This window comes from Homo sapiens, chromosome 2 (assembly GCF_000001405.40).
Source record: "Homo sapiens chromosome 2, GRCh38.p14 Primary Assembly".
NCBI lineage: Eukaryota > Metazoa > Chordata > Mammalia > Primates > Hominidae > Homo > Homo sapiens.
Genome location: NC_000002.12, coordinates 170739823 through 170765218, shown reverse-complemented (window position 1 = coordinate 170765218; position 25396 = coordinate 170739823). Strand labels below are relative to the sequence as shown.

General features: G+C 41.0%; 1 long non-coding RNA gene and 1 pseudogene across 1 annotated transcript in view, besides 1 other annotated feature; one reads left to right on the top strand and one right to left on the bottom strand.

Moving 5' to 3' along the window:
* Positions 1 to 25396, top strand: part of ERICH2-DT (ERICH2 divergent transcript) — a 70399-nt gene that overhangs the window by 5548 nt on the left and 39455 nt on the right. The gene's annotated exons all lie outside the window — the stretch shown is intronic.
* On the bottom strand, positions 12137 to 13528 carry EIF2S2P4 (eukaryotic translation initiation factor 2 subunit 2 beta pseudogene 4; annotated as a pseudogene).
* Positions 21226 to 21520: a silencer, noted in NCBI's record as "tiled region #1892; K562 Repressive non-DNase unmatched - State 5:Enh". NCBI's record gives its function as "represses a minimal TATA promoter and a strong SV40 promoter by Sharpr-MPRA in K562 cells {active_cell/tissue: K562}" and the evidence as "EXISTENCE:reporter gene assay evidence [ECO:0000049][PMID:27701403]".

Here is a 25396-nt window from a genome sequence, read left to right as displayed (position 1 = left end):
CCACTGACCCTGGTGTTACAAAGGAGTTCCTAAGGTAATAACTGGTGGTATCATCACCATTCTTTACTGTAAATAGTCTAGGGAGGGCTCCAAGTCCCTGAGGTAACAGGAATCCCTAAATCTAGAGATAAAATGGAGAAGAATCTCTCTATTGTAAAACCCAAAAGGAATCCGTAGGTAGAATCAATCGGCTACAGCAGGGTTTCCTAAACTGGTGATAAGGGAAAATTCTTCTGGTATGTTATTAACATGCAGAGAAAAAAGCATTGCCCCTGGAGGAAATTAGTTTGTTTGTTAAACTGTTAAACAAAGTTTTTTGTTTAATGTAGAATGTCTCAGAGGCTTTAGTATGCTAATATACTTTGTCAGTTTCTCAGAGGGAGTTTTTTTTAATGTGTAGGCTTTCTCAAATTTACTTGACCAGGGAATTTTGCTTTTTTTCTTAGTGCTGTTTAGGAACTCTTGAAGTACAAGATACTTCCTCTGACTGTGACTTGAAGATAGCTGTGAGAAAAAGGCCCCGCCCCACCCCCACTCAATTGAGAATCAACTAATCTAAAAGCAAATAAACCTGGGAATTGTACCCAATTATATATTGACATGAAAGGTGATGTTGTTAAAACTAAACACAAGTTGAAGGGCTTTTCATAAAAGCTGGGGAAAGCAAATGTTGGAAAAACATTCCACTGGGGTGTTTCCCCTGAATTAATAAACAAATTTAAGTCAGTCTCAAAACAAAATGAAACAGAAAACAAAGCACATGGCCCTCAAAAGTGCCCTTTTTTCCCGTCCTGAGCACCAAGAGTCTCTACATGTGGGCATCCATATTCTAATTTTCATCATTGCTCAGCTTGCCCTTGCTGGCTTTACACCGCACTGCTGAAACTGCTCTGGCAAATAGTGTCAGATTCAGAGCGGTATGTGAGAGGGGACCTTCTGCTTCTTGCCTTAGGAGATTTTTCTACTGCATTTGACATAATTACTTCTCATTCCTTTTTTTTTTTTTTTTTGAGACGGAGTCTCGCTCTGTCGCCCAGGCTGCAGTGCAGTGGCTCGATCTCGGCTCACCGCAAGCTCCGCCTCCTTGCAGTGGGTTCACTGCATTCTCCTGCCTCAGCCTCCCGAGTAGCTGGGACTACAGGCGCACGCCACCATGCCCGGCTAATTTTTTGTATTTTTAGTAGAGACGGGGTTTCACCGTGTTAGGCAGGATGGTCTCGATCTCCTGACCTTGTGATCCGCCTGCCTCCCAAAGTGCTGGGATTACAGGCGTAAGCCACCGCGTCCGGCCTCTTTTTTTTTTTTTAGATGGTGAGGTAGGAGGCAGGACTCGACTCGAGAGGCAGGGCTTGGACACTGGACCAGATTGAGAACTAGCTAAAACAGGGCCAGGATAAAATCAGCTTTCAATCAGATATACCCACTGTGTGCCATGTCAATTTACTATTGCCATAGCAACACTTGGTAGTTACCACCCCTTTCCGTGGAAATGGCCCAATGGTTACTACCCCTTCCCTAGAAATTTCTGCATAAACCATCCCTTAATCTGCATGCAAGTAAAAATGAGTGTAACTATGACTGCAAAATGCCCTGAGCTGCTATTCTCTGCCTAATGCTCCTGCTTTGCAGGAGCAGTCACAGAGCTGTAACACTGCCTCTTCAATAAAGCTGTTTTCTTCCACCCTTGGCTTGCCCTTAAATTCTTTCCTGGGCAAAACCGAGAACCCAGTGAGCTAAGGTCCACTTTGGCACTCACTTACCCTGCATCAACAGGGTCTTGCTCTGTGGCCCAGGCTGGAGTGCAGTGGCGCCGTCACAACTCACTGCAGTTTCCACCTCCCAGTCTTAAGCTATCCTCCCTCCTCAGCCACCGGAATAGCTGGGACTATAGTGTGTGCCACCATGCCTGGGTAATTTTTTTATTTATATTTTTGTAGAGATGAGGCCTTCCTGTGTTGCCCTGGCTGGTCTTGAACTCCTGGGCTCAAATGATCCTCCTACCTTGGCCTCCCAAAGTGTTGGGATTACAGGCATGAGCCACCATGCCTGGTCTTTCTCGTTTCTTTCTGAAACACTTTTCTCTTGTCTTTCATGAACCTCATTCTCCCAGTTCTCCTCTTCATGAGCTTCTTTGTGTGTTTTCTACCTGTGCTCACGCTATAAAACCTTGCTGTGCGCTAAGATCCCCTCCCACCCGTCGACATGGTCTCCCTGGTGATCTCGTTTACACTGACGGTTTTATCGACCACCTTTATGCTGACTGGCCCTAAACTGAGCTTCAGGTCACATATTATCTAACTACATGCTGGACAAATATACTTAAATATCCCATAGACATCTCAAACTCTATTTGTCCAAAGCTGAGCTTATAAGTTTTCCCTCTGCCCCAGTTGTCACTGTGTTACCACAACCTTCATGTCATTAAATTCAAAAGTAACTTTTCATCTCATCTTATTTGACCTTTCAGCTATATTTGACACATTGTATTCCTTTATTCTGAAAACATTTTGCTTTGTTTCTGTGGGTCTATATCTTGTATCTGTGACATTGTACCTTTCTGATTTTCTTACTGTTTCTGACTACCTCTTTTTTTTTTTCTTTTTTTTTTTTTGCCAATTTACATTTCTCTAGTAAATATTTAAATATTGGAGTTTCTCAAGTCTCCTCGGCTACTGCATCAGTGGTCTATCACTGCATAACAACCAATCTTGAAACTTAGTGGCTAAATGTAATCCCAGCACTTTGGGAGGCCAAGGCGGGCGAATCACCTGAGGTCAGGAGTTCAAGACCAGCCTGGCCAACGTGGTGAAAAGCTGTCTCTACTAAAAAATACAAAAATTAGCCAGGTGTGGTGGTGTGCACCTGTAGTCCCAGCTACTTGGGAGGCTGAGACAGGAGAATTGCTTGAACCCTGGAGGTGGAAGTTGCAGTGAGCCAAGATCATGCCGCTGCACTCCAGCCTGGGTGACAGAGCGAGACTCTGTCTAAAAACAAAAGAGAAAAAAAAAAAAGAAACTTAGAGGCTAAAAAAATGGCAAATATTTTATTTGATCATGATTCAATGGGGTAGCAAGTTGAGGTTGGCTTGGCTGAGGGCTTCTGCTGCTCCTATGTGTGGTCACTCATGTACTTGTCTGGTGGCTGACTGGGGCCCCTGTAATCTATGACTTTATTCTCATGTATGGGTGTTGGTGGTGGCTGTTGGCTGAGCCTTTGTCTCATTGTCGTTTACCTTCTCAAAGGGTTAATCTAGGCTTCTTAACATGGTGGTCTCAAGGGCAAGAGCAGAAGCTGCCAGTCCTCTTGACTTCTAGGCTCAGATTCCCCCTCATCACTTTCACCATATTCTATTGGTCAGAACAAGACACAAGGCCAGTTCAGAATCCAGGGGTGGAGAAATAAACTCCACCTTTTAGTGGGAGACAAAAATCACATTGCAGAGTCATGCAAATTTGGCAAGAGGCATATGTGGCTATTTTTTTTCAGTATACTACAACCCTTTCCTCTTCTTATTCATAATCATTTTCTAAGAGATTTCATCCATTCAGCTTGGCTCATTGTCCATCAATAACTCCCTAATACATGTCTTCTCAGACCTCAACTCTGAATTCACATAGCATGAGCCTCCTTGACTTCTTCTTTTGGATGTATCAATGATACAAGCTCGATAGCTCTAAAACTATATTAATGATTTTCTACCAGAAATCTTGTCCTCTTTCAGTCCCTATCTTAGTGACTATAACCACTGGCAAGTAAGAAGCCTGGGCAAACCTCTTTTTTTTTTTTCTTTCCCCATATCCAATTCATAACCCAGTCATGTCAATTTTATATTCTGAATAACTCTCCACACCATGCACTTTTCTCTGTTTCCACTTCTACCACTTTAGGCCAAGCTACTAGCACCCTTTACTTGGATTACTGCAACTGTCTCCTAATGTCACTTCATTCACTCTTGTCCCCTCTATCAAATCCATTCTCCATTCAAGAGCCAGAGTAGTCGTTTAAAATGCAATTTGATAACTTTTTGTTCAAGGTTACAAACTAAGCAGCTATGCTTGTCATCTCTTCCTCCCAACACCTTTATTAAAATAATATAAAATTTTGAAAAGCCTACATCCATAACAAAGAGAATTGAGGCAGGGCTGACCATCATTAAGTTCAACATTTTTAGAGGGAAGAAAGCAATGGAGAAATAGTGACTGATGAATCAAGATAGAGGCAGTCTAAGCCTCTATGTTGCATGGAAAATAGATCCAAAAAGAGATTCTTTTGGAAAAGTCTAGATATTTTGGACTAGATGGCTGCAGATATGAGAGACGGACATGGGACATGGAACAGAAAAAAGAGAGGTTAAGTGATGGCCTGCAATGACCACCATCCTCCTCATTCCTTCTAGGACAGAACAGTTAGTAGCCAAGTATTCCCTACCTTACCTTAGGCCAAAGAAGGAGGAGGAGGTGAAGGTGTACCTCCAAAAATATTAAATGAACTCTCTTTTTTTTTTAAAAAGATCTTCTGTCCTTCCTCTCATTCCTAAGCTATTACTGATCTGCCTTTTACCACCATAGATCTTTGTATTTTCTACAATTTTATATCAATGGAATTATACAGTATATACTTTTTTATCTAGCCTCTTTTTTTTTTTTTTTTTTTTTTTTTGAGATGGAGTCTCGCTCTGTCGCCCAGGCTGGAGTGCAGTGGCGTGATCTCGGCTCACCGCAACCTCTGCCTGCCGGGTTCACGCCATTCTCCTGCCTCAGCCTCCCGAGTACCTGGGACTACAGGCACCCACAACCATGCCCGACTAACTTTTTATATTTTTAGTAGAGACGGGGTTTCACTGTGTTAGCCAGGATGGTCTCGATCTCCGGACCTCATGATCTGCCCGCCTCGGCCTCCCAAAGTGCTGGGATTACAGGCATGAGCCACCGAGCCCGGCCTTGTCTAGCTTCTTTAACTCAGCATCATAATTTCATATTTAATCATGTTGCAAAATCAACAGTTCATTCCTTTTTATTGCCAGGCAGTAGTCCATTGCATGGATATACCACAATTTATCTGTTCACTTGTTGATGGACATTTGGGTTGTCTTCAGTTTCTGGCTGTTACAAATGGAGCTGTTATTAACATTCACATGTACGACTTCAGGCTGGGTGCAGTGACTCATGCCTGTAATTTTAATGCTTTGGGAGGCTAAGGCAGGAGGATCACTTGAGGTCAGGTGTTTGAGATCAGCCTGGGTAACATAGTGAGACTCTGTCTCTACAAAAAATACAAAAATAAAAAAAATTAACTGGGTGTGGTGGCATGTGCCTGTAGTCCTAACTACTCAAGAGGCTGAGGTGGGAGGATCACTTGAGCCCAGAAGTTTGAGACCAGCCTGGGCAACAGAGTGAGACCCCGTCTCTAATAAAATAAATTAAAATAAAATAAAATAAAAATAAATTAAAAAAAACAAAAAGACGTTCTATGGACATATACTTTTGTTTTCTTGGGTAAACACACAGGAGTGTTTTGATATATGTATGTTTCACTTAGGGTACACATAGGGTAAACACATAGGAGTAACACATAGGGTAAACACATAGGAGTCATTTGGTATATGTATGTTTCACTTTTTAAGACACTGGCAATGTGATTGTATGTTTTATGTTCTTACCAGCAGCATATGAAAATTCCAGTTCGTCTACTTCCTCACTTAGTCCAGGTATAGGCAGTCTTTTGTTTTGTTTTGTTTTGTTTTGAGATGGAGTTTCGCTCTTGTTGCCCAGGCTGGAATGCAATGGCGGGATCTCGGCTCACCACAGTCTCCGCCTCCCAGGTTCAAGCGATTCTCCATAGGCAGTCTTTTAAATTTTAGCCATTCTATTAGGTCTGTTGCATTATCTCATTGTAGTTTTAATGTTAATTTCCCCAATGATTAATGATTTTGAGTGCTTTTTTCATTTGCTGTCCATATATTTTCTTTGGTGAAGTCTTTGTTCAAATATTGGGACTGTTTAAAAATTTCCTTTCTAATTATTTAGATGGGAGGGTTTATATACAGTCTTATATTGCTTAATGGTGGGGATACTTTCTGAGAAATGTGTCATTTTGTGATTTCATCCTTGTGGGAACATCCTAGAGTGAACTTACACGAACCTAGATGGCATAGCCTACTATACACCTAGGCTGCATGGTATGGCCTGTTGCTCCTAGGCTACCAACCTCAATAGCATGTTACTGTACTGAATACCATAGGCAATTATAACACAATGATAAGTATTTGTGTATCTAAACATATCTAGGCCAGGCTCGGTGGCTCAGATCTGCAATCCCAGCACTTTGGGAGGCTAAGGCAGATAAATCACTTGAGGCCAGGAGTTCAAGACAAGCCTGGCCAACATGATGAAACCCTGTCTCTAGCTGGGCGTGGTGGTGCATGCCTGTAATCCCAGCTACTCGAGAGGCTGTGGCATGAGAATCGCTTGAATCTGGGAGGCAGAGGTTGCAGTGAGCCAAGATCATGCCACTACACTCCAGCCTGGGTGACATAGCGAGACTCTGTCTCAAAAATAAATAAACATATCTAAATATAGAAAAGGTACAGTAAAAATATGATATAATCTTATGAGACCACTGACTGTCTGCAATCTGTCCTTGACTTAAATGTTATGTAGCATAGGACTATATATAAAATATATATATACACACACATATATAGTATAAATATGTATATACTAATAAATAAATCCATATATATTGCCTTTTCATTCTCTTAAAGTGTCTTTCAAAAGCAGAAACTTTTAATTTTGATGAAGTCTAGATCAAATTTTTGCTTTTATAAATCACTATTGTGTGTTTTATATCTTTTTTTTTTTTTTTTTTTTTTTTTTTTAGAGTTTTGTTCTTGTCACTCAGGCTGGAGTGTAAAGGCGTGTTCTCGGCTCACTGCAACCTCCACCTCCCGGGTTCAAGTGATTCTCCTGCCTCAGCCTCCCAGATAGTTGGGATTACAGGTGCCCGCCACCATGCCTGGCTAATTTTTTTTTGTATTTTTAGTAGAGATGGGGTTTCTCCATGTTGGCCAGGCTGGTCTCAAACTCCTGACCTCAGGGATCCACCCGCCTCAGCCTCCCAAAGTGCTGGGATTACAGGTGTGAGCTACCACACCTGACCTGTGTGTTTTATATGTAAGAAATTTTTGCCCAATCCTAGACCAAAAAGATTTTCTATTTTCTTCCAGAAGTTTCATATGTTTAGGTTTTACATTTTTGTCTGCTATCCATCTTCCTTAATTTTTCTATATGGTACAAGGTATGAATTGAAGTCTATTTTTAGTTTGTTTATTTATTTATTTATTTATTTGAGACGAAGTCTCGCTCTGTCGCCCAGGCTTGGACTGCAGTTGTGTGATCACGGCTCACTGCAACCTCCACCTCCCGGGTTCAAGCAATTCCCCTGCCTCAGCCTCCCGAGTAGCTGGGATTACAGGCACCCACCACCATGCCTGGCTAATTTTTTGTATTTTTAGTAGAGATGGGATTTCACCATCTTGGCCAGGCTGGTCTTGAACTCTTGACCTTGTGATCCACCTGCCTTGGCCTCCCAAAGTGCTGGTATTATAGTCATGAGCCACCTTGCCTGGCCTGAAGTCTATTTTTAAAAACGTATGGTTTTCCAATTACTCCAGCACTATTTTGTTTTTTTTTTTTTGGGATGGAATTTCCCTCTTGTTGCCCAGGCTGGAGTGGAATGGTGCGATCTCAGCTCACTGCAACCTCTGCCTCCCAGGTTCGAGTGATTCTCTTGCCTCAGCCTCCCAAGTAGCTGGGATTGATTATAGGCGCCCGCCACCACACCCAGCTAATTTTTTTGTATTTTTAGTAGAGACAGGGTTTCACCATGTTGGCCAGGCTGGTCTTGAAATCCTGATCTTGCTGGGTGTGGTGGCTCACGCCTGTAAAATCCCAGCACTTTGGGAGGCCAAGGCGGGCAGATCACAAGGTCAGGAGATCGAGACCATCCTGCCTAACACAGTGAAACCCCATCACTACTAAAAGTACAAAAAATTAGCTGGGCGTCGTGGCGGGCGCCTATAGTCCCAACTACTCTGGAGGCTGAGGCAGGAGAATGGCGTGAACCCGGGAGGCGGAGCTTGCAGTGAGCCGAGACTGTGCCACTGCACTCCAGCCTGGGCGACAGAGCGAGACTCTGTCTCAAAAAAAAAGAAAGAATCCTGACCTCAGATGATCTGCCTGCCTCGGCCCTGCAAAGTGTTGGGATTACAGGCGTGAGCCACTGTGCCCAGCCAGCACTATTTGTTAAAAAATGTTTTTTCTACTCTGAATTGCCTTTGTACCTTTGCCAAAAATCAAGTGACCAAATAAATCAGTATATTTCTGGGCTCTAACATGTTACATTAATCTATTTTATTCATCAATCTTAATGTCAATTTCAAAATATCTTGATTACTGTAGATTTATAATAACTCTTGAATTCAAGTAATGTATGTCTTCTAACTTGGTTCTTCTCTGTCAGTTGTTGGTTGGGCGTGGTGGCTCAGGCTTGTAATTTCAGTGCTTTGGGAGGCCAAGGTGCCAGGATTTCTTGAGCCCAGGAGTTTGAGACCACCCTTGGCCACACAAAGAGACCCACCTCTGCAAAAAATGAAAAAAATTAGCCTGGTGTGGTGGCATGCACCTGTAGTCCCAGCTGCTCAGGAGGCTGAGGCAGGAAAATCCCTTGAGCCCAGGAATTTGAAGCTGCAATGAGGTATGATTGTGCCACTATGCTCCAGCCTGGGTGACAGAATGAGACTCTGTCAAAAAAAAGAGTTGTTTGGGCTAGTCTAGGTTTTTGGGTGCTTTTTATTGTTTTTTTGTCTTGCATTTCCATATAAATGTTAAAATCAGCTTGTCAAATTCTACAGAAAAGCCTGCTGAACTATTGATTGCAATTACATTGAATTTGGGAGAGATTTGACATTTTGTCAATATTGAGCTTTCTCACCCATGAAGATTATATATCTCTTCATTTATTTAGATCTCCTTTAATAATTTATCTTGCAGTGTTTTGTAGTGTCTTTTCTTTTTCTTTTTTCCTCTTTTTTTTTTTTTTTTTTTTTTGAGATGGAGTCTCGCTCTGTCACCCATGCTGGAGTGCAGTGGCATGATCTTGGCTCACTGCAACCTCTGCCTCCTGGGTTCAAGCGATTCTCCTGCCTCAGCCTCCCGAGTAGCTGGGATTACAGGCACACGCCACCACGCCTGGCTCATTTTGTATTTTTTTAGTAGAGATGGGGTTTCACCATATTGATCAGGCTGGTCTTGAACTCCTGACCTTGTGATCCACCCCCTTCAGCCTCCCAAAGTGCTGGGATTACAGGCGTGAGCCACCGTGTCCGGACTTTTTTTCTTCTTTTTTGAGACAGGGTCTTGCTCTGTCACCCAGGCTGGAGCGCATGGCCCACTGCAGACTCGACCTCCTGGGCTCAAGTGATCCCCCTGCCTCAGCCTCCCAAGTAGCTGAGACTACAGGGGCCTGTGAACATGCGTGGCTAACTTTTAATTTTTTTTTTTTTTTGAAACGGAGTTTTGCTTTTGTTGCCCAGGCTGGAGTGCAATGGCGTGGTCTTGGCTCACCGCAACCTCCGCCTCCCGAGTTCAGGTGATTCTCCTGCCTCAGCCTCCCGAGTAGCTGGGATTACAGGCATGTGCCACCATGCCTGGCTAAAGTTGTATTTTTTTTTTTTAGTAGAGACGGGGTTTCTCCATGTTAGTCAGGCTGGTCTCGAACTCCTGACCTCAGGTGATCCGCCCACCTCAGCCTCCCAAAGTGCTGGGATTACAGATGTGAGCTACTGCACCCGGCCAGTTTTTGTATTTTTTTGTAGAGATATGGTTTTGCCATTTTGCCCAGGCTGGTCTCAAACTAGGCTCAAGCAATCTGCCCACCTCGGCCTCTCAAAGTGCTGCGATTACAGGCTTGAGCCACGGCGCCCAGCCATGTTTTGCAGTTTCTAGTGTACAGGTCTTGAACATCTTTTGTCAGACTTATTCCTAAAGTATTTCATATTTTTTGATGCTACTGTAAAGAGTGCTTAAATTTCAATTTCTGATTATTTGCCATTAGTGTACAGAAGTACAGTTAATTTTTTTTTTTTTTTTGAGATGGAGTCTCGCTCTGTCACCCAGGCTGGAGTGCAGTGGCCTGATCTCGGTTCACTGCAACCTCCGCCTCCTGGGTTCAAGCAATTCTCTGCCTCAGCCTCCCGAGTAGCTGGGATTACAGGTGCCCGCCATCACACCTGGCTAACTTTTTTATTTTTAGTAGAGACGGGGTTTCACCATCTTGGCCAGGCTGGTCTTGAACTCCTGACCTCGTGATCCACCTGCCTCGGCCTCCCAAAGTATTGGGATTACAGGCATGAGCCACTGTGCCCGGCCAATTGGGGTCTCCCTCTTTCACCCAGACTGGACGGGATTTCGCCATGTTGCCCAGGCTGGTCTTGAACTCATGGGCTCAAGCAATCTACCTGCCTTGGCCCCCTAAAGTACTGAGATTACAGGTGTGAGACACTAAGCCCAGCCAAATACAAGTAATTTTCGTATTTTGATTTGGTATCCTGAAACTTTGCTAAATTTGCTTATTTCCGGTAGCTGTTCTGTGAATTCCACTGAATTTTATACATAGAAGAGCATGTCATCTGTGAATAAAGACAGTTTATCATTTTCTTTCATTCTAGGAGCCTATTATTTCTTTTTTTTTTGTCTTATTGCACTGGTTAGAGCCTCCAGCATAATGCTGTGTAGAAGTGGTGAGAGTAGACATCTTTGCTTTATTTTTTATCAGAGATGGGGAAAGCAGTCAGTCTTTCAACATTAAGTATAATGCTTTTGGTAGATTTTTTAATGAATACCCTTTATAAGATTTTAAGTTTCCTTCTATTCCTGAGAATTTTTGTCAGGAATAAACATTCAATTTTGCCAAATGCTTCTTCTGTACCTACTGAGATGATCACATGGTTTTTCTTTTTAAGTTTACTATTATGTTGAATTGCATTGATTTTTCTACTAGTAAACTGAACAAATTCTTGGGATAAACTAACTTAGCCATGATATATTATCTTTTAAAAATATTGCCAGATGCAATCTGCTAAAATTTTATTAAGAATTTTTACATGTACATTCATAATAACATTAGTCATTGCTTTTCTTTCTTTGTAAAGTCTTTGTCTAGTTTTGGTATCAGAGTAATACTGACCTTCTAGAATGAGTTGGAAAGTATTCTTTCTCTTCAATTTTCTGGGAGAATTTGTATAGAGTTTCTCTCTTCAATGTTTGGTAGAATTCCCAAGTGAAGCCACCTAGACATGGAGTTTCTTTGTTGGAAAGTTTTTAAAACTTTCTTTCTGGTAAATAGCTATTCTGGTTACCTATTTTTTCTTAAGTGAGCTTTGGCAGTTTATGTCTTCCAAGGAATTTGTCCATTTTGTATAAGTTGAATTATTGGCATAAAGATGTTCATAGTAGTCCTTATTGTCCTTTTATTACCTATAAAATATGTATTGATGCCACTCTTCTCATTCCTGATACTGATAATTTGGGTCTTCTCTCTTTTTTCCTTATCAGTATAATTAGAGGTTTCATAATTGTATTTGTTTTCTCAAACCAACTTTTGGTTTCATCGATCTGCTGTATTGTTTTCTGTTTTCTGTCACTGATATCTACTCTGACTTTATTATTATTATTATTATTTTGAGACAGGGTCTCACTGTGTCACCCAGGCTGGAGTGCAGTGGCACAATCATAGCTCATTGCAACTTTGAGCTCCTGGGCGCAAGTGCTCTTCCTGTCTCAGCCTCCTGAATAGCTAGGATGATGGGCATGCACCACCATGTCTGGCTTACTTTGATTTTTGATATTTCCTTTCTTTTACTTACTTTAGGTTTCATTTGGCCTTCCTTTTCAAGTTTCTTCTTAAGATGAGAGCTCTCATGTCAATGATTGAAGGCTTTTTTTTTTTCAAATATGAATGTTCAGCGCTATGAATTTCTTCCTAAGTTCAACTTTAGTTGCATTCCGCAAATTTTGAATATTGTGTCTTGCATGTTCATTTAGTTCTAAATACTTCCTAAGTTCCCTTTTCTTTTTTTTCACTGTTATAATAACTTTAATTTATCTTGCATTTTACAGAAGTCTATGAACTATTTTAAAAAAGCACCTCCTTACCCCATATCACGTTTCTCTGACAGGTGTTAAAGTAGGCAATGAGTATGTCAACAGCTTGAGCATCAGCGTCTTGCAAGGACTTCAGACCAACCAACCACTCGCCAAAAATCTTGGCAGCTTTTTTATCTTGTTTTTAATACAATGGTATATCCACTCTGATGGCAAACCTGTCCAGCCACATCTCCACAACAAGCTTTGCAAAATCAGTGATTAGCAAATTAGTTAGCTTTGGCACGGAGCTGTGCTCGCTTGCCCATGACAGCCTGGAAGCCAATTTTGATAATGGCAACAGAACATCTAGAATGACAAGTTTCGCACTGTAGGAAATAGAGTCGCATGTCCTTCTGCAGGATTGTGTCCGGTGATCGGCATGTGTGACAAGTGACATACTCCTTGATATATCTTCTCAAGACATTTTCTATCTGTTTCTGTTGGAATCTTCCTTTGATTACAAGTTGGTTATTACCATCTATAGAACCACTTGTACCCAATTCAGCCAATAAAAATGCAAGGAGATGTTTGGGTTGACGATGTAATAGTTTACAGATATCTGTAAAGTTGACAAAAGAAGTTTTCTTGGTTCCTACTCGGACGACTTGTGGAGGTTTCATGACAAATTTCCTTTTCTCCCCAGCAACCATATCTGGATTCTTTTCCCTCATGATGTTGAACACTCGATTCAGCAGCTCCTCGTATGTGTAGTCTCTTTCTGAGCCTGCCCAAGCAGGGCCTGTCTGATTACTGAATGAGATACCATCATCTTTTTTGTTGTCTTCATCTTCTAGAGCTTCATCCTCATCTGGGAACTTAACATTCTTCTTTTTCTTCTTTTTATTGCCAAGCATAATGTCAAGGTCATCCTCTGGTTCAGTTGGTTCTTGAACATCACTTTCAATCTTAAGATCCTTTACACCTTCTTCAGCTTCATCAATATCAAATATCTTTTTAGTTTTTTTCTTCTTTTTCTTTTGATTAAAGAAGTTCAAGTCATCTAGATCATCAGAAGCATCTTTTTTCCTAGTGTCCTCTTCATCAGCTTCCAAATCTTTGTCCTCAGTTGGCTCTGGCTCCACTTCTTTTGTTTCTGAAGGCCGGGTTTCCTCTGTTTGGGTATCCCCTTCCTCATCTAACATAAAAGGCTTCTTCTTCTTCTTTTTCTTCTTGCTCATAGTAGGATCAAAAATCATCTCGTCCCCAGACATGGCTGCGGCTCGAGTGGGCTCGGCACGGACGGGAAGTCAGACGGGTCAGCCCCAGGCCCCGGCGGCAGCGCTGCCCCTGCCGATACCTCTCCCACCCCTAAGCTCCCTTTTCATTTATTCTTTGACACATGAGGTATTTAGAAGTGTATGGCTTAGTTTTCAAATAATTGGGGATTTTGCAGAGATCTTTCTGTTGTTGCTTTCTAATTCAATTCCATTGTGATCAGAGAATATACTTTGTATGACTTGAATTCTATTAAACATATTTGTACTTTTTAGTGCCCAGACTATGGTCTATCCTGGTAAATGTTTTAGATGCACATGTAAAGAATATGTATTCAGTTGTTGTTACATGGGGAGTTCTATAAATGTCAATTAGGTCAAGTTGGTTGATAGTTTTGTTCAAATCTTCTATATCTTACTGATTTTAGGTCCACTTAATCCTACCAATTATTGAAAGAAGGGTGTCAAAATCTCCAACTATAATTGTATACTTGTTTATTTCTCTTTGCAATTTTATCAGCTTCTCTACATGTGTTTGCAAGTTCTGTTAGTAGGGACATAAACATTTAGGATTGTTATAGCCTCTTGATAAACTGATCATTTTGTCAAAATTAAATGACCCTTTTTATCCCTAGTAATATTCTTTGCTCTGTAATCTACTTTGTCTGATACTAATATAGCCCCCAGACTTTTTTTGATTTGTGTTACCATGATAGATCTATCTTTTATCCTATTACTTTTTATCTATTTGTGTCCTTATATATAAAGCTGGTCCCTAGTAGTTAGAATAGATTTGCATCTTGCCTTTTTAACCAGTCTTATATCTTCGCCTTTTAATTGTTTAGACCACTTTAATTTAATATTATGTTGATATGGTTGGGATTATATATTATTTGTTTTCTATTCATCCTACCTGTTCTTTATTCCCTTTTTCCTATTTTTCTTCATTGTCTTGGATTAAATTATTTTTATGATTAAATTATATCTCCTTTGTTGGTTTATTAGTATAACTCTTTGCTGTATTATTTCAGTGATTGCTAAGGCATAGAGTAGACATCTTTAACTTATGACAATCTATCTTTGAGTAATATACCACTACACGTAGAATATAAGAAATGTAAAACATGCTTCCTTTTCTCCCCTCTTGTCCTTTGTGCTTTTGTTGTCCTATATTTCTATATGTGTTATATATATGTGTTATATTTACATTTAGTTTCCAAATAGATAATACATTGTCTTATTTTTTGCTTTAAAGAGTTGGTTATCTTTTAAAGAGATTTAAATAATAAGAAAAAACTTTATATTTACCCACATAGTTACCATCTCCACTATACTTCATTCCTTTATGTAGTTGCAGATTTATATCTGGTAGCATTTTCCTTCTGCTTGAAGGATTACTGTTAGCATTTCTTGTAGTGCTGGTCTGGTGATGATAAATTCTTTTGGCTTTTGTATGTCTAAAAAGGGTCCCTGTTTTGCCTTCCGTTTTTTCACAGAGATTTTGGCTGGGTAAAGGATTTTGTGTTGCCAGTGATTCCCTCTCCTTCCCTCCCTTCAGGACATTAAAAAATGTTGCTCCATTGTCTTGCACCTTCATTTGCCATGCTACACTTGCATTGTTTCTAAAACGAAATCTGTCATACTGTTCTTTGTTTTTCTGCATGTGATGTTGTTTTGCCTCTATCTGCTTTTATGATTCTCTCTTTATTACTATTTTTAAGCAATTTTATTACTCTGAGCCTTGATGTAGTTTCTTCCAAGTTTCTTATGCTTGAGGTTTGGTGAGTGATATGGTTTGGTTCTGTGTCCCCACCCAAAATTTCATCCTGAATTGTAATCCCCATAATCCTCACGTGTCAAGGGTGGGACCAGGTGGAATAATCGGATCATGGGGTGGTTCCCCCATCCTGTTCTGATAGGGAATGAGTCTCATGAGATCTGATGGTTTTATAAGTATCTGGCATTTCCCCTGCTTGTACTCCCTCCATCCTGCTGCCCTGTGAAGAAAGCGCCTGCTTCTCCTTTGCCTTCCACCATGATCGTAAGTTTCCTGAGGCCTCCTCAGCAGTGTGAAACTGTGAGTCAATTAAACCTCTTTACTTCTAAATTACCCAGTCTGGGGCAGTTTATAGCAGCTTGAGAATGGACTAATACAGTGAGCATTGTGAATTTGTTGGTTTATCATTTTATCAAATTTGGAAAATTTCATCCATTATTACTTGACATACGATTCTCTCTTCCCTCATTTTTCTTCTGTGGGAACTTTAGTTACACATGTATTAGGCCCCTTGTCCCACAGCTTGCTGATATTCTGTTCATTTCTTTTTTTAATATTTTTTTCTCTGTGTGTTTCATTTTGGATAGTTTCTATGAAAATGTCTTCAAATTCACTAATCATTTCTTCTGCAATGTGCAATCTGACATTAATCCCATCCTGTGTGTTTTTCATATTAGACATTTTAGTTTTCATCTCTAAAAGTTTGATATGGATCTTTTTTATAACTTCCATGTCTTCAATTACATGCTCAACCTTTTCTCTAGCTTCTTGATGATAATTATAATAATGGCTGCATTAATACCCTTGTCCACGAATTCTATCATTTGTATCAAATCTAGGTTAGTTTCAAATTACTAATCTTACAAACACCCCTCCCCCTGTTTTTTTGTTTCTTTTATAAGAGACAGGGTCTTGCTCTGTTGGCCACACTTCAGTGCAGCAATGTGATCATAGCTCACTGCAGCCTTGAATGTGTCTAGGTCAAAATGAGATGTACCCAAGTGTAAAATATACACTGAATTTTGAAGATGTGGTTTCAAAAAGTAAAGAATATGAAATATCTAATGAATTTTTATATTGATTGCATATTATAATGATAGTACTTTGCATATATGTGTTAAGTAAAATGTTATCAAAAGAAATTTCACCTGTTTCATTTTACTTTTTTAAATGTGGCTGGTAGAATATTTTAAATTACATATGTTACTCACTTTATATTTCTATTAGCAGTCCCTAGATTTTATTATCAATCACAGAAAATCCTCCTTAATTTCCATTTTAATCACCCTGTTCGCTGAACATTATTTTCTCAGCTCACTTCCTATGGGACTCCACCTCTAATAACTTTTCCTTCCCACTAAACTTTTAATTCACTGATGCTATTACCTTTTCACTGAACCTTCTCCCCTCCCCTAGGGTCCTCACAGCCTTTCTTACCTAGCTAAAATGCCATGTTCAATCATTAAAAAAACATTTTTTTTGAGACAAGGTCTCACTCTGTCACCCAGGCTCAAGTGCGGTGGCGCCATCACAGCTCATACAGCCTCAAACTCCAGGGCTCAGGTGATCTTCCCACCTCAGCCACCTAAGTAGTGGGGACTACAGGTGCATGCCACCACATCCGGCTTTTTTTTCTTTTTATCTTTTTTTTTTTTTTTTTGAGATGGGGTCTCATTATGTTGCCCTGGCTGGTCTTAAACTCTTGGGCTCAAGCAATCTGCCCGCTTTGGCCTCCCAAAGTACTGGGATTACAGGTGTGAGCCACCACGTCTGGCCACAATCATTTTAATCACTCCCTGGCATATACCTTTAAATCCCTTATGCTTCTGCATGGGTAATGGACTTATCAGGAACATGACTGGCTGATCTTAGAGAGCATGATGAGTCAGGAGCTGAAGTTTATACAAACGTGTTGCTGCACAATCTAGTGGTGTACTGTGATGACGTTTCTTTTCTTATATGGTCTTTTTTTTTTTTCTTCCCTATTGTTCATTGTTGGCCTGTATCACATCTTTAAATTCTCAAAACTACTTGCTTGGTTAAATCTACAACCCTGGTTAAATCCAGATCTCTGACTCCTTCATGCCTGTATCAGCACAGCAGACTGCGGCTGATGGAAACATATGACCAGTTTCACTTCAGATTCTTCCTGGTTAATCTCAGGAGACCCTCAGTGCAGCCCTCCCTCATACCACATGTGCTCAGTCTGTCTGCTCTCCTTCTCTCCTGTACCAGTGGTTTTCAAACTGCGATGGCTTACCAAGGAGAAAAGAGTTGAAGGGAATTAGCTACCAGATCCTCAACATCTACATGGGGTTTCCTAAAATTCACATCACAAAGTTTCTTCTCTCACTGTGCAAAACAAAGGCAATCTCTCACCCCCTCCAATCTCAGGGTGGCCCTGAGGATCTCAATACCACCTGGGCTAAGCCACAGGGCAGTTCCCTGTCACCTCTGATCAAGACACAGAAACATTTAACATTTCTCTGTTCTGAGTATATTTCCATTCAAGGGAAGTCAGCATTTGACCCACATTGAAGTGTTTTCAGTTCCTATACATTGTAGAGTAGGGTGGTAGATCACTGACAATTTTCGTTGAAAGACCCAGACTTTTTTTTGTCAAGAATGCATCACTCTTGGGGGAGAGTCCAGGAGAACAAAGAGATGATTAGTGAGAAATATTGGTGAGGATATTGATTGGTAAATTATTGACTATTAATGAGAAAAAGATTTTTTTTTAGAGTTAATTAAAAAAAAAATTGAGACCGGGTCTCACTACTTTGCCCAGGCTGGTCTCAAACTCTTAGGCTCAAGAGATCCTCCCTCGTTAGTCTTCCAAAGTGCTAGGATTACAGGCATAAGCCACTACGCCTGGCCAAAAAAAAAAAATGACTTTTTAAATGTATTTAAACATTAGAGAACCTTTTTCTCTATTCTCATCCTTAGGGCTATGTTATTAGCTAGGAAGAAAAAACCTTTTTGAATAGCAAATCAGTGTAAGTTAATAACAACAATTCTTCCACTGTAACTGGAATGATTTCTGAGATTACCAGTTTTAAAAAGATATATTAAATAAAAGCTATAGATAAAACTTTTATGTGATTTCTTTCAGATTGGGTGTACTGTATTAAATAATATAGTTAGTACCTATTTTATAAAATTATATCATGAAATATTTCACTTACAGTCAACTTTCATAAAGTGTTAAATATTATCTACCTCCTATTAAAAAATGGTTGCTAGTGGCCGGGTGCAGTGGCTCACGCCTGTAATCCCAGCACTTTGGGAGGCTGAGGTGGGTGGATCACTTGCGCTCAGGAGTTCAAGACCAGCCTGGCCAACATGGTGAAACCCCATCTCTACTAAACATACAAAAAATTAGCTGGGTTTGGTGGCCCATGCCTGCAGTCCCAGATACTCAGGAGGCTGAGGCATGAGAGTTGCTTGAACCTGGGAGGCAGAGGTTGCAGTGAGATGAGATCATGCCACTGAACTCCAGCCTGGGTTACAGAGCGAGACCCTGTCTCAAAAAAACAGAATTTTTTTTTAGTCAGCTATGAAGTTTTATTTCATTAAATAAACAGAAAAATGTAATTATGATATATAATGCAATTAATGGAGTTACTTCTGATTTTTATTTAAAAGCTTTACTAAATTATTCTCAAAAGTAGACTATCAGAGATCTTATATGCACACAAACATAAATTTAAATTAACTATTTAAATTACTTAAAAATTTGTAAATAAACAATGGGACTAATAAATAATGCAATTAGAAGTAATTAACAATAGGACTAACTAAACATGTGTGAGCAAAATATGACAATATTTTAATAACTTTCTTCTTGTCCTTTGATACAGCAATTTGTTTTATCTTTTTTTAACTCTATATTAGGTATTTAAATTTTGCAGGTTCTATTATTATATATTCTTAAGAAAAATACATATTTTAAAAGAACATAAATAGTATTATTAACCAGATATTACCTATATTTAATAAAAAATTGCAATAACATGTTTCCTTCTGTCCTGTGATATGGTAGGTTTTTTTTTTTAATCTTCTGTTGCCTTTTTCATGTTTATTTTATTATTTTTTTATTTTTTGAGATGGAGTTTCTTTCTTGTTGCCCAGGCTGGAGTGCAATGGCATGATCATTCAAGCAATTCTCCTGCTTCAGCCTCCTGAGTAGCTGGGATTACAGGCATGCACCACCATGCCTGGCTAATTTTGTATTTTTAGTAGAGACGGGATTTCACCATGTTAGTCAGGCTGGTCTTGAACTCCTGACCTCAGGTGATCTGCCCGCCTTGGCCTCCCAAAGTGCTGGGATTACAGGCGTGAGCCACTGCGCCCGGCCGCCTTTTTCAATAATATTTCTCTGAACTGCCTGCAGCTTTTACGACATCCTTCCTTCCTTTTATGCAGTGGTAAAACTGAATACAGTCAAATGTAAATTCATTTTGACTTGCAGCTCTGCTATTATCAAGTCCGTATTATAGAAGTTTATAAACAGAATGGAATTTCCCAGGATTTTCCCAGCAGCACTTTCTGCTGAATATGCAGATAGATGAGGAAAGTCTAGTGTTTTTTTTGAACAAAGTATCAACAATTTTTTGTTTTCTGCTTTCTGTAGTTTCACTAAAATCTTCATAGAAATAAGGCAATTGTTTGAAACTCAATTTTTCAAATTAAAGTAACTAAGAGCAGGAAAACATTTTGTTGTTGCTATAATTCGACTCATTTCTTAATATGTTATAGGAGGCATGATCATAGGTACAGCCTGATGAGATGAGTTCCAAAGGGCTGTACTGTGTTGAACAATGTCACCCCCAACATTAAAATTCATGTCCACCTGCAACCTGTGAATGTGACCTTATTTGGAAATAAGGGTCTTTGTAGATGTAATCAAGTTAAGATGAAGTCATACTGGATTAGGGTGGGCCATAAATCCAATATAACTGCTGTCCTTAAGAGGGAAATTCAGACAGACAGACAGACAGACAGATAGACACACACACGGAAGACGTGTGATTCCAGGTGAGGCTGGAAGGAGAAATTGGAATACTGTAGCTTCAGGTGAAGGCATGCCAAGGACTGCCAGGATTACCTGAAGCTAGGATGGAGGCATGCAATAGGTTCATCCCTAGAACCTCGGAGGGAGCACAGTCCTGCTGACGCCTTGATTGCAGAGTTTCCTTCTCCAGAACTATGAGAGGATAAATTTGTTGTGTCAAGCCACCTGTTTTGTGGTACTTGGTTATGGCAGCCCTAGCAACCTATTACAGGGGCCAACATGTCAGTTCTCAAATTTCCCCCTTTTGTTTGCCCACAGGACATTATAGCTTCAGCTTGCGAATCAGGAAATGTAACTTCACTCACTTCCATAGTGCCATCAAGAGAATGATAAAATACTGTGTGTTTGTTCATGTGGTATGCCCATACCAATTCAGTGGTCACTGTTCTTAACTGAACTTAGGTGTCTTTGGGAGACCAAAAAAAAAAACCTCTTCTGATTTAGAAATTCTTCCTTGTCTAATCCCAGAATTGTGAAATCCAGCGTCCACATGTGTTTTCGCAATCACCTTTTCCGCAACGCCCAGGCCAAAGCTGTTTTCTGCATATTGTGCAATGTGCGCCATTTTGGCGACTTACCTCCCTAATCAAGTCGTATGTGTCCTTCCTTCTGTCCTTAAAAGAACACAGTCATTTAGCGTTCCTTTTCAGCGAGATCTGGGTCATGCTGGTGATATTGCAGTTGTTCTATTTTTCACGATCTGAACTTTTAGAAAATATTGCCACAATATTCACAATGTTAAAAATTAAACTAGCACTCTCTCTGGAATAAGGAGTCTGGTTCCACTCTTTGGCGTTTGACTAGCAACAGCATTGAGCCCCACCTCTCTGTCTCTCTGTCTGCCCCACACCTGGGCAAGCTGATAAGAAAGGCTGGGTGTTCTCTCTGTGCTGTGGAGAGACTCAAACTACATAAGCTCCTCCCAACGGGGGAGCCCTCACCCCGCCCCCCACCCCCTAACTGCAATAAAACTCAGAGCCAGTCTCTGTTCCCTGCTCTCTCAAGCCATTCTGGATTTACAGAGAGGCCTGCTCTGCTTTCCCCAGAGACTTCAAGTATGTAAGTAATCAACCTTTCCGTTATCTCTTGAGGTGTACTTGGCATTATGAGTCTTAACATCTGAACTGAACTTTGGGTGGGGCTTATCCTAGTTCTCCAGAGTGGTCACAGTAATCTTCAGACATTGGGTGGGGCGCAATGGCTCACGCCTGTAATCCCAGGTAGGAGGATCACTTGAGCCCAGGAGTTTGAGATCAGCCTGGGCAACACAGGGAGACCCTGTCTCTGCAAAAAATAAAAAATTAGCTGGGTGTGGTGGCACGTGCCTGTGGTCCCAGCTACTCAGGAGGCTAAGGTGGGAGGATCGCTTGAGCCTGGGAAGTTAAGGCTGCAGTGAGCCATGATTGTGCCAATGCCCTCCAATCTGAGTGACAGAGCAAGATCCTGTCTCAAAAAAAAAAAAAGCACAACGGTTAATCTATAGGTTAGGTCAAACAGACTATTAATACCCACAATTGCAACTCAAGTTGTATACTTAATTCCTGTTACTTGAAGTGATGCCACAATGGGTGATCCATTATGTTAACCACAAACTACTGTTGCCAACCTCAGTGGTCAGGAAAAATCAGTGATAGTGACTCCCAAAGGCAGAGAGTCTATGCTGTATCCATTTAACACTATAAATAGCATGGCTTTCAGTCTCTAGTTTTCAGGGCCACTGTATAGGTTTTGTATTTTCTCTCCAACTTCTGCCCCCGTTACTGACAACCAGAACGTTTCATATCCTTGGGAGGGATTTGCCAGGACACAGGGCTTTCAGAGCTAAAACTGGGGCAGTTTCAGTGAGAGACCTCGAGCAAGAACTGCTCAGATGAATCCTATCCAAATTCCTGACCTACAGAAACCATGAGTGATGACAGTAAATTGCTGTTTTGAGCAACTAAGTTTTTGGGGTGATTGGTTATGCAGTACAGACAATTAAAACAGCAACAAGGCCAGGCGCAGTGGCTCTCACCTGTAATCCCAGCACTTTGGGAGGACGAGGTGGGCAGATCATGAGGTCAGGAGTTCAAGACCAGCCTGGCCAACATGGTGAAACCCCATCTCTACTAAAAATACAAAAATTAGCCTGGTGCAGTGGCGAGTCCCTGTAATCCCAGCTACTCAGGAGGCTAAGACAGGAGAATTGCTTGAACCCGGGAGGTGGAGGTTGCAGTGAGCTGAGATCGCGCCATTGCACTCCAGCCTGGGCAACAGAGCGAGACTCTGTCTCAAACAAAACAAAACAAAACATAAAACAGCAACTCAAACTGGCTACAGCAGAGCCTGTATCTTTTCTTTTAAACTCTAGTCTCCCTACAGTCTTCTCCGTCTCCTTATGTGACAACTCTGCTCTTCCAGGTGCTCAGGTAAAAACCCTGGAGTCATCTTGACTGCATTTTCTCCCACATCCAATCATTCACCAATCATATTGGCTCTACCTTCAAAATAGACCAAGATTCTGACCTCTTCTCATCTCCTTCACTGCCATCACCCTACTTCAGGCCACCATCATCCTTTGCTTAGATTGTTTCGAGTCTCCCAACTACTTTTCCTGCTTCCTCCCCACCCCCTTCAGTCTCTTCTTATCACAGTATCCAGAGTGGGTCATGTTCACGTGTACGTTGGATCCTGTCCATCCACTGCTCAAACCCTCTCAAGGTTATCTGCCTCTGCTATAGTAAAAGCCAAAGTCCTTGCTTTGACTTCTAAGGCCCTCCATGATCTGCTCCCCATGACTTCTCTGTCTTTATTCCCCTCTACTATCCCCCTTGGTCAATCTTCTCTAGCCACATGAGCTTCCTTGCTGTTGCTTGAATACAGTAAGCACACTCCTGTCTTAGGGCCATTGTACTTGCTGTTCCCTTTGCCTGGAATGCTGTTCCAGCAGATGGCTGCTTGTCTTGATCTCTCACTTCCTTAAGTTACCTTCTCAGAGCAGCCTTCCCTGCCCAGCCTACCTAAAATTTCAGCTCCTTTGATCGACTCTTATTCTTCTTCCTTGTCTTATTCCCCTCTTAGTACTTTCCATTACCCAGCATGCTCTATAGTTTACATATCTGTTTTTTGTTTGTCTCCCCACTGAAATGAAAGCTCTGTGAAGGCAAGGATTTCTGTCCTTTTTATTCCCTGTTCTATCCCTAGAGCCTAGAGAACTGTGCCCAAAACATAGCAAACTCTTAATAAACATTCACTGTTCAATGGGTAGTCATCATAGTGATTGACACTGCATATTGATTTTCAAATTTAGAATCAGCACTTAGGAAAATAACAGAAGATAATTATGATTACAGAACAGTATGTAAATGCTTTCAACCTTAAGGATGGTACAGTATGATGACAGAGGTTTGGAGGTGATCAGGGAAGGAGAGGTGAAAAGAAGGGAAAGGACACCAATGTCTTCATCTTGCAAAGTATCAGAAACAAGAGACTGGCTCTGATGGTTAGAAAATGAAGTAAACTTATAAGCACAAAATTGAAAGTTGTAACTTATGGTTGTAAGCATAACTGATAGAACTAGAAACAATGAATTAACATGGGAGAGAGATGGAAGTGATGATATGAATCATAACTTTGAGTTCATCAATAATATTGGCAATGTCTGCTTTTGTCTGATTTCCCTAGAACACAGAGCCCGAGGCAAAGCTTAAGTGCTTACGCTTTTGTCGGGAGGTACAGACCCAGCTCTGCGAGAGCCAGGGGAAAAGGAAGAGAGGCAGGGAAGGAATGGCAGCAAGTACAAGGTGATGAATGACTGCACTGGCCATTGCTTCATGAAGAGCCACGAAAAAACAGAGCCGGTTTCTCAGCAGGTGGCTGGCTGCTCAGTCACAAAGGACCTCTTTGGACAGGCTTTATGGAAATACTGTGCCTAGGACAGTCGCTCAAAGGCAGGAGGGAGAGAAAATGCATCTGCAAGCTCACTTTGTCTTCTTTCTTCTGCTGGTCAAAATTTGCTGGCTGGGGCAGTTAACGCCCTCACACATCCGAGTTGTGTCACCTGGCCCCTTTGGTAGCCACTGGGGAAGCCAGATCTAGGCATGTGGCCTGATGGCTCCTGCGGTGGAACCACATGCTCACACTCAGTCAGTCACCACTGGGATGCCCTGGGCAGGGCAGGCTGAGTGGCTGGGAGATAGCTGAGCCTAAGATATCTAAGCAAGCACCTGTGATGTATGCACTGCAGTGTCCAAATGTGAAAAAGCAAGAAAGGGAGATAGAAGCATATTTTTTTCTGGAGAGAAGGAGGAAACCACCAGGAGAATACAAACAGAAAAAAGGTAAGGTGGTTGTCTCTGGAGGTGGGAAAGAGGTTGGAGAGCAGAATGTTGCATCTTATTATTATTAGCATTCCTGCACAATTTTTTAAATGCATGGATACATTGATAGAAATCACTTTTTAAAAACTCAAAAACTAGGTTTTATCACTCCTCTTTCCCAAATTCTTCAATGGTGTCCCATTGCTTTTAGGATAATTGAAACAGATTGAGCAACACTATTTTTCTGTGGGAATATTAGCTCTTAGACACTGCAAGTTAATATTGTTGTTATTTATATAGCCTAAGTTTGTTCTATTAAAAATTTACTATTCAGGCTGGGTGCAGTGGCTCTTGCCTGTAATCCTAGCACTTTGGGAGGCCAGGGTGCGTGGATCACTTGAGCCCAGGAGTTCCAGAATGGGCCTGGTCAACATGGCAAGATCCCATCTCTACAAAATTTTTTTTTTAATTAGCTGGGCATTGTGGCAGGTGCCTGCAGTCCCTGCTACTTGGGAGGCTGAGGTGGGAGGATCGCTTGTGCTTAGGAGGTCGAGATTGCAATGAGCTGTGATTGCACTATTGCACTCCAACCTGGGCAACAGAGCAGGACTGTGTCTCAAAAAAAAAAAAAAATCACTATTGAAATACTCAGTGAAGTATCAGTGATTTTGTAGTAAGCTTCCACAAGTACAATATTTAAGGGAAAAAAAGTGCAGCTGCTCATTTTGATTTTAGGGGGTTTCAGTTCTGAACTAAAGTCCCTGAATATCAAGGTCCTGCTGGCCTCTCCTGGCTCACAGTGAGTGACTTCCTCTTTCTTTCTGCTCAAA